A 10,362-nucleotide genomic window follows, 5' to 3' on the forward strand; every position below is an offset into this window, starting at 1 on the left:
CTTGTGCCTTTTCCTGATTTGTTACAGCTTTCTAAATTGCTTATATCATGCTAGAGGCATAATTCTTAATTTAATGAATTCCATCATTCTGGAAAGTAAGAGTTTTTAATGCTGAAATAGAGTAGATCATTTGGGAACAAGTTCAGAATACAAAACAAATTTTAACTTCTTTCTGAGACAAGCATATCAATAAAATTCTGTTATATAATGAAACATATCATTTTAATTAGTAAAATATATTAATTTCCATTAAAGATGTCAAATATGCAAGACTATAAAAATAGAATGTAAAAAAAGAATTTGCCATTTTCCAAAGTCAAATGTAAATTATTATATTTCCTTCTTTCTGTTCTTCAACACTAAAGATAAATAGTAATGTTTTATCTTTGCAGGAATAATACTTTTATTCTCATTTCTCTTTTGTATCTGGGATATATGGTGGTTCTTGGGAAATTTTGCTTCTGTCTCTAGCATTCTTAAAAAGTTATTGAACTCATTTCTCTCTCTTCAGTAGATTAACACCCAGAATATTTCATGGACGTACACTGTGCTCTGGTATTGAATGAGATGGTACCAACATCCTCAGAAAAACCTTAAACATGAAACTGCACCTGCCCCCCATTGCCCCCCACAACACAGTCTGCACATTTGGACCAAGTTGTATTGTCAAGTTCCCCGGAGTGTTATGACTACTGTTCTTAAAGAATTAAGGTTGGAAACATTTCAGAAGGTTTACAATACATCACATCACATCCTAAAGTATTTTTAATTATTTGAATCATAGATGTTCTTATTTTAATGTACACTGGGCACAATTTTTATTTCATTTTGAAGCTGAGTCTGTTGGACAAGGGCTAGTGGTTCACCAATAGTTTCAATAATAGTGATTGTTTAACATTTGGATATCTGTTAAATTTTCTATTGTAACTTTTAATGTTATTTACATGGGATAGCTGTATTCACATGGTGTTCTAAAATATTATCGCTATTACGTTTTAAAATGACAGGAATTTGAGGCTCCTCAGACATCTTCACAGAAAAATAGCACCAAATGAGCAGCAGCAATTGGATTAGTTAGCTTCACACTGCCTTTAACATTTTTTAAAAACATAATTATAGATACAAGGGAAGTTGCAAAGAAATATGCCAAGACATTCTGAACACTCTTCACCCAGGCTCCTCCATCTTTTGCAATTATAATACAATACTAAAACTTGTTGACATTGGTACAATCCTTGGGATTTATTCAGATTTCACAAAGTATATATGCACCACGCACATGAGTCTGGGTGTGTGTGTAGCTTTGTGCAATGTTATCAACATGTGTAGATTAACGTAACTACCACCACAAAAAACCTACTCAATCTGATAGTCACAACAACCCCTCCTCCCTATCTCTAATATCGGGCTGCCACTAACCTATTCATGGTCATTCAATGTCCATGGTTATGTTATGAATGTTATCTAAAAGGAATCACCTCTGTATATCCTTTTGAGATTGGCTTTCATCACGCAGCATAATTTCCTTGAGGTCCATCTCAGCTATTGTATCATTCACCTGTTTCTTTCTATTGCCGGGTAGTATTTCATGGTATGGATGTATTAGGTTGGTGCAAAAGTAATTGCAATTTCTGCCACTGCAAGTCATGAAAACAGCAATTACTTTTGCAGCAACTCAGTAGAACATTTTGTTTAACCATTTATCCCCTGAAGGACATTTGAGTAATTTTCGGTGTGGGGCTATTACAAATAGAGCTGTTTTGTATATTTGTGTACAAGTGTCTGCATAAAAGTAAGTTTTCAATTCTCTGTGATAATTCCCAAAAGTGCAATTGCTGGGTCTTAGGGGAAGTCTATTTCATATTCTTTGGCATATAAAAAATTTCATATATGTTGCTGGCACCAGGTCTTCACAAGGTAAACTCAAAAAGATGCAATAAAGAAATATCTTTGTTTTAGGATGCACGTTGGCACCTCTGCATAAGGTATGAGGTTTTTATCCGCATCCATAGACTTTACAGAGAGGGTCTTCCCCTCCCTTCTAACAAGGTGTTTGGTGTTGGTGGGAGGACAGGGAAAGAAACAAAGAGAGGGAAGAGTTTTCTCCTTGTTGAAATAGGGATTGTTGCATATGTGCTTTCAGAAATAAGGCTGAAAAGCCCATCAGTCTCAGCTTGACACAAAGAAGATGCTCTCATATTTTGTGAGACTGTAAGCCTTCTTTCCTGCAGGTGGCCTCAGGTCTGTGGAGGGTCTCATTACTCAATGCATCCTGACTCCATCAGGTTCAATCTGATGGGTTTCTCCTGGGGAAATAAATGAGACTTATCTTTTTGCTCTTATTTTTTTAAAACGGCTGGAAACAAAGTCTGGATGGCACCAACCTTTTTAAGCTGGGCTTCACCAGTGCTCATGCGGGGACCCTGTTTATAGGACCAGAAACTACGGTAATTCTTAGCCTTTACACCCTGGTTATGCCTCAGTGCCACCACCTCCCCCAGCACCCTCCTTCATCCCTTCTGACCACAGGAGCCCAGATTCAGTCTTCTATTTTTTATTTATATTTTTATTTTTTTTGAGACAGGGTCTCACTTTGTCACCCAGACTATAGTGCAGTGGCATGAACACAGCTCACCGCAGCCTCAACCTCCCTGGCTCAAGCAATCCTCCCACCTCAGCCTCCTGAGTAGCTGACACTACAGGCATGCATCACCACGCCCAGCTAAGTTTTGCATTTTTTGTAGAGATGGAGTGTGACTATGTTGCCCAGACTTATCTCAAACTCCAGAGCTCAAGCTATCCACCTGCCTCTGCCTCTCAGTGTTGGGATTACAGGGATGAGTTGCCATGCCCAACCAAGACTCAATCTTCTTGCCTTTCATTCATAACACGGGCATCATCCACTCTAACCCTGGGGGTTCCTCCACCTAAACTGTGTGTAGAATGGGACAGATGCCCATAGATCCATTTCTTAACTAGATCCACAGAATTTGGTGAAGCGAAGATTCAAAGTTCACAAACAACTCCTCTCTATTTTCTCTAGGTTCCTCTGTTGCCTACCTGTTGTCATTCCCTTATTATTATTATTTGTATTTACTACAACTTCTTTGAAATAGAAAGTGAAGATACTCATTTTGAGTGATGTAAAAAGAAAAATTCATTTTCTATAAAACTCAAAGGTCGTTTTCACTTGCCATTGAAACTTCCTAACTACTATAGCTGAAGCTTGCTTTTCACCTTTGCAGCCATATCATATTTCTCAAGGAGCTCACCAATTCCTATTACATTTATTGACTACATTCTATAAGAAACTAATATTAATAAGGAATTTCCAGTCAGATATTCATGGTGCTATCAGTCCACCATGTCATTAATATCTTTCAAACTGGGCGGATTATTTTGGTATTTTGGTGCACCTATCTACCTGTTTTTTCCACATAGGTGGAACTTGCATTTATGAAGAAGTGTGGGTACTATTGCCATGGTTAAGCGTGTTTTTGCAGCTTGCAGAGGATGACTGTATGCAATACAATGTATCACTAGTACCATTCTCTTTTTAAATCAAGTTTCTTTTTTCTGTACTTGATTTCTGACTGGTTTCCATTTCCCACTTTTTATTTTTTTGTTTGTTTGTTTTGGAGGTTGCAAGAGGTAGAAATACAAGTATTGTCAAATTTTGCCAGGGTTTCCATGGCTGCTAACTGCATTCATGTTTTTTTCTTGATACTGCATAATAAAGTAGATATGATGTACATAATTTCAAATGCCATCTAATTATGTTTCCCCATAGAGTTAGACGATGTGGAGGCTAAGTAAGTCTCTTTTCATTCAGATGATCTAGAATTCTTTTTCTTAAAAATGGTCCCCCCTTCCTCCAACCAATCACCATGGCAACAAGTTCCAATATCTAGAATTCACTCTCCGCCTGGATGCTGCTCCAGCCTTGGATGCACCCTGGGACCTCATTAAAACCACCTACCTTTGCCTCACCTTTCCCACCTTAGCTGGTGCTTTTATTAACAGGAAATTAAAATATCTTTCCTCTATCTAACTCATATAGGGATATTTCTGCCTCCAAAATCTTATGCAATGGGACTTCCTTCAGCAAGCTCTTCTGATGAGACTTTGATTATGATCTTATCTAAATACACAGCCAGTTGCATGCTGCATGAAATTGAACATAATTGAACAAAATAACTGGTGAATGTAGACCAAAATGGCAGGGGTGATTGGCTATGCAGACAGCATCTTACCCAAATGGTACATGGTCTCATTTTCTACTCTCAGTAGAGAGGCTTTTTTGTCCTCCTTTGAAAGTGCATATTCTCAGTAAAAACTATGAATTCTATGAGGATAGAATCCACCAATAGAAGGATTAATTCCAGTTTCCCATTGTATTTTCACTGACTTTCAATGGAGACCCTGTACCCAGCTAGAATGCTGGATGTTTGGGTGATCATTAGTGCTAATCATAGCTATTTCCTTCTTCACTGGCTTCCTCCCTCTAGGAACATGGTGGGACTGTATTTTCTGGCTCTTTTGAGCTTGGGCAAAGACATGTGACTAATTCTGGCCAATTACTTATGGACAGAAACAATGTGTGTCATTTCATTCCAGAGAATAAAGGCTACATTAGCATCTTAGATCCTGTTGGAGGAGTGCCCCAGCTAAGGAACAGAGGAAAAGCAGCAGGACAAGAAATGAAATTTTGTTGTTTTTAGGCACTGATATTTGGGGCTGTTTGTTATCACCATATAACATAGGCTATGCTGACTGGTATGATAAGGAAGTTCAGTTCTTCAGAACTATTTTCAGACTTACTTCCAGAATTGTTTTCTGACACTAGGCAGAGTTAGTTACATTTAATGAGCAGAGGAGAGGCCAGGAGAAGGAATTCATCCAAGTCACATTTAAAGGCAAGAACAACTCCACATTACAGTTACATGAAGTGGGGCAGCCAAGGCCTAAACAGTGCCTTGTGGCTCATGGCACTCATGGGTCCAGTGATCCTCAGCTAGAGTCTCATTTCTTCCTGGAGGATGAGAGAAGTTTGATTCCTACCAGAATTCAAATGGAATCTATTCAATTTGACCAAAAAATGGCACAGATAATTCTGAAACAACACCTACAACATTTCCCCTGCTGTCCCCTGTTGCTGCTTAATGGAGACTATAAACCCAGATAGAATGCTGGGATGCTGTGTGGCCATTATTTTCTCCACTTGAGTCAATAAATTTTGGTGTTAAATTATATAGCAAAATAGTAAAAATGTACTTCTACTAAGAGACTGATAAGTTCCTTACTGCCATACATAGGGTCAGATTTTCCAGTGTGCTAAACTCTCTTAAACTCTCCTGAGACTTCACTCTTGATAAGTGAATAGGCTTTTTTTCCTTCTCAGATCACTTATGCCATGCTTTGCTCATACTTCATACACAATTAAGATGATGAATCAGTTAGGGTTTATACAGGGACAGAACAAATGGAATATATATATATATATATATATATATATATATATATATAATATAAAGGGGAGTTTATTAATTATTAAGTCACATGATCTCAAGATCCCACAATAGACTATCTACAGGCTGAGGAGCAAGGAGAGCCAGTCTGAGTTCCAAAACCAAAGAACTTGAAGTCCAATGTTCAAGTGCAGGAAGCACCCAGCACAGGAGAAAGATGCAGGCTAGAAGGCTAGGCCAGTCTCTCTTTTCAAGTTTTTCTGCCCACTTATATTCTAGCCTTGCTGGCAGCTGATTAGATGGTGCCCACCCAGATTAAGGGTGGGTCTGCCTTTCCCAGCCCACTAACTCAAATGTTAATCTCTTTTGGCAACACCCTCACAGACACACCCAGGACCAATATTTTGTATCTTTCAATCCAATGAAGTTGACTCTCAGTATTAACCATCACAGATGCTAAATTAATGTCCAAGGCCCAAGGCACTGGGATATCCCAATTGAGTTGTCTCATTCTCAAAAATATGAGTGACATGTAGCTGCTAATCTCTAAGGCCTCCCCCACTCCCCTGCTTCTCTACTTCATCCCCATTCTTGGTAGATGATGGTCTTAACTGAGAGCCTAATCAAACCAAGAGTTAAATTTTCCCAGGTTTTCATGTACTTAGGAAGTTTCTAATGTTGGGTAGTGCCTAGGGGAAATTTTGGTGGGGAAATGGAGGGAAGACAGAAGGAGTTGAGCACAGTTGGCCAGGACTGGAGGATCACCTAATGTGGCATCCCACCTTGAAGCTTCCTTGTAGCTATGATACCGTTTGAACCAAGGAAAACTAACTTTCTTTATCATGAGTGAGAAAGAGATGGGGCCCAAATGGCATCTGATACACTTTGCAATAATGCTTTTTGCAGTGACTTGCAGACAGAAATATGCTGGAATAATTGAGCTAGCACATAGCATAATCTGCTGTAGCCACCGCAAAATTGCAGAATCAGACCCATTGGTGCTGTATTTGACCAAGAGCAGCCATGGAGGGAAAAATATCTATTTCCCACTAGACTAATTATGCTAATTTTATATTAATTGATTGAACGGTTTTACTTGAAGCTGCTGTGGAATTTTGTTTTTGTGTTAAAGTTGCATAAAACTATAAGCTGAAGAAGTTCAGCAAGCGCTGCATTTGGACATACTAAGTAACATTAAGTACACGTAATATAGATCTCCACCCAAGGTTCACAATCTTTTTTTTTTTCCAAAGTTACCAGTTCATTACTCAAAGTAGAGAAGTGCTGTTTGGGAGGAAATATTTCAGATACTGGGCAGCTGCTAAGGGTAAGGGAATAAGGGGGTGAAGTCCAGAGGCAAGCCCCCTTCTGTGGATGGGGTGGGGTTTCATGAAGAGTTGACGGAGACATTCTGACAAAGGCAGCAACCAAGCCAGGCTAGGAAATGAGGACGCTTTCTATGAAACAATCTCCTTTAGTTGCCCCAATTGTTCAATAATGTCTGATATGGAATCAAAACACACAGTTGTGTCAGGGATTATGTCAACAATGAAGGGACAAGGCAGTGGTGGCCCCTTCCCCTTTCCTGCCAGAATACCAATTTCACAAGCTGTGGCAATGTGCCCAGCTCACAGCTGACCCTCTCCCTTCCCATTCCTCTACAAATTAAGGCTACAAAGAGTATCTCTGAGTATAAGATTATTTATAGTCTTATAAATAGACCGGTAGGTGGGTGGCCCTGTGAGACAGTGCTGGGCAGTGAAGGATGAGTGGAGGTTGTTAGGTGGGGCTTCCAGAAAGCTCCAGAAAGCAGAGGAGTTTGACTTGGCTGGCAGGATCTCTTTTCCCCTTTGCCTTTCCTCCCACTGGCCACCTAGAATAAGGCATAGCAATTGGTGCTGCTGCAGCCATTTGCAAGTAACCAGGATGGAGAAGCCTAGAGAAATCCTGAGGACCCCTGGATGCTTCCTGCAGACTTCCTTATGACTCAAGAGGAAAACTGTGCTCAAGCCACTGTCATTGGGGGTTTCTTTCAGATGCAACTGAGCACAAGCCTTCAGGAGAAGGGCACCCCTGCTTGTCATGCATCACACCCATCAGGTGCCGCGTCATGGGGAGGACAGGGCCTATCATGAAGACCTTGGCCCACAGCAAGGTGACCAGGAGCCCCTGGCCAGTCCCGCAGCGGAGGAGGAGGAAGGAGGTCTGTTGACCTCAGGAGGAGCCACCTGGGTCTCCATCAGGAAGAGTGGGCAGGAGCCCACCGCACACCTCCTTTCAAAGAACTCAGAAGGAAAGGGAACCTTAAAGGAAAGGGTAAAAATAGCTATTTCAAATTACCTATATTTAGCACCAGTTTGAGTTCTGGGTGAAAGAAAGTAACAGCAGATTTTAAAAGAGAATGTGAACAGAGACAGTGAAAACGTAACCTAAGGAAGAAAAACTATAGCAAAGTCGTTCTAAACCACATATTTCAATTCTCGTTGATTATTAGAAAGCATGATGTTACAATCAGAAAAATAAATAAAGACATAAAGAAATAGTGCTCAGGTTAGAATCAGGCAAGGTGCTGGATACTATCTTGTGCATCCTGCCTGGGAACAGCTCTCACTGAGTGAATATAATCATGTCTGTTACACGTGAGTGTTTACCATTGACAACACTGTGCCAAGTCTTTTACCTGTGTGTGGTTTCATTTAACCTTAAGAGATATTACCATAATTCCCAGTGACAGTTGAGGAAACTGGGGTGTGGATCTGCCCCCAATCATAGCTCTCGATGACTTTTGACATTGCTATTTTCTATCTACCTAAAAAGGCTGCATCGCCTGCAGCAGAAACAAACAGCCCTACTCTAAAGACACTACAAGGCTTTTTGTTTTAAATGTGATTGTAAAAATCTCAATTAGAGGAGTCTTCAATTAATTGAGGGATCCGAGTAATCTAATTTCCTGGCTTAATTGAGCACTAACCGGAAAAAAAAATTCCCATTAAAATGCATTTTTTAAAGTATATAAAACACGCACTTTCTTGACTTAGTGAACCTGATTTAAACTTTTTTGATAATTAAGTCACTGACAGTGCCTCAGGGTGGCTATACTGACAATCGCTTCTCACCACTCTGTGCTGTATCCTACTGTTAGGTTTTTTCCGCTCTTCTACTAATTAAGGCTACAAAGAGCATCCCTGAGTGTAAGATTATTTCTTTTATATTTCACATTAGTTTCAGATATGCCTAAAGTGGATGCTGGGCCAACAGGGTTATAATTTTTTTTTAATGCTTCCAAAAATGTTCCCAAAATGCAGCACAAATTTTTACCACATTTTTTCCAGGTTATAATTCTTTAAAACTCTTCAAATATAATTCCTAAGGATGAATTTAACAATCAGCTGGTAACTGAGAAGCTGGGAGATCTGCAAGGAAGGTTCTTGTGAGAGGACGATGAAGATGGATAGCACCGAACCAGGAGAGGAAGGATATGAAGAATGACGGCATCTCAAAGGGGAGGAGTTACATGCTTTGTGCATTGCAAGCAATGGTGTGCTGGTGAAATCTTAACAACCAGTTCTCCAGAGAAGAAAAGGGGAACCCTGATTTGTAGCATTGGCCAAGGTGGAAATAGTCCTGCTACACCCCATTTCAAGTCACAGGATGCAGTTGAAAAACTGCGCACCTTTCGGTTTGTGACCCAGTAGGAGCTGTCCTCTAGAACATACTGACTGCAAGGGAGCAGGGTACCACTGGGAGGGACAGTGAAATATGCATCCTTGGATGTGGTGTGCTGCCTTCCTCCACTCGTACCATGCAACAGTCTGGACACTTAAAGGCCCCCTAAACAGAGGTCTCGGGACCTGGATGCCCTTGTGGTCTCTCAACCATGGGACAATTGAACAGACCCCACGGGAAAATGTCGTATGCTTGGGGGTAGCAGTGTCCCCAGACACTAGCATGTGCTCTCATCTTTTCATAAGGTTGTCACATCTCATTGCCTAGTCACAGTCTTTTATTGGTCCTATTAATATATGCCTACCAAATTAGAAGCTCCTAAGTCAAAGGAAGAATGGCTCATTATGAGTGACAGTCAGTGGTTGATTATTTTGGCAGGCAGTTCTGGGCACTATGATTAAAAATGGACCCAGAAAGGGGGAAAGACCTCTCAGTGGACCCTGTTTTCAGTGTTTACCTAATGGTAGCCAAAGAGCATGACATACCCAAAAGCCAGAGGTTAAAATTTCAACGAAAAGATGGCAGCAAATGGATTCTTACTCTAGTCACTTATTTCATTTGGCTTTAGAAAGTGTCTCCTCATGCTCTTTTTTTCAGCGTTTGGATACACTCTTAAATTATTCACAATATGGCATTGTTTCATTTCTCTAACAAATTTGGAAAAATCGTAAAATATTAGGGAAATGCTGATGATTGAACCATTTTACCTTCTCATGAAATCTTGATGTCCTATCTAAGACAGAGATTGGCAGTTTACTAATCATGCTTTTTTATTTTCTGTATTTCTGATGCTTTGATATCTGGATGACCCTGGAGGCATCCTATGCAGATTAGCCTACTTTTAAAAGCAGTAAATGACTCCCTGTGAGCACACCTCGTGTATGCAAACCACCAACCTAGCGCCCACCTCCTCCCCCACCTTCTCTCTCAGGTTCTCACCATCTAGGCCACCATCTTCCTTCCCTAATCATTCCAGGGCCAGGCACCAGATGTCCAGAGATAGCCCTCCTGTCCCAGAGCCTGCTGAAATTATTCAAGCTAGCCAATCCTAAACCTGCTTGCCCTGACTTGCCTTGCCTTTCCTGCAGAAGCCACATGATAAAGGCTCTTGTGCAGGTTTCTCCCCTCCTCTCTCAGCCTCCTCACTGAGCCTTGTACTTCCCCGGGT

Source organism: Homo sapiens, chromosome 9 (assembly GCF_000001405.40).
Source record: "Homo sapiens chromosome 9, GRCh38.p14 Primary Assembly".
NCBI classification, from domain to species: Eukaryota; Metazoa; Chordata; class Mammalia; order Primates; family Hominidae; genus Homo; species Homo sapiens.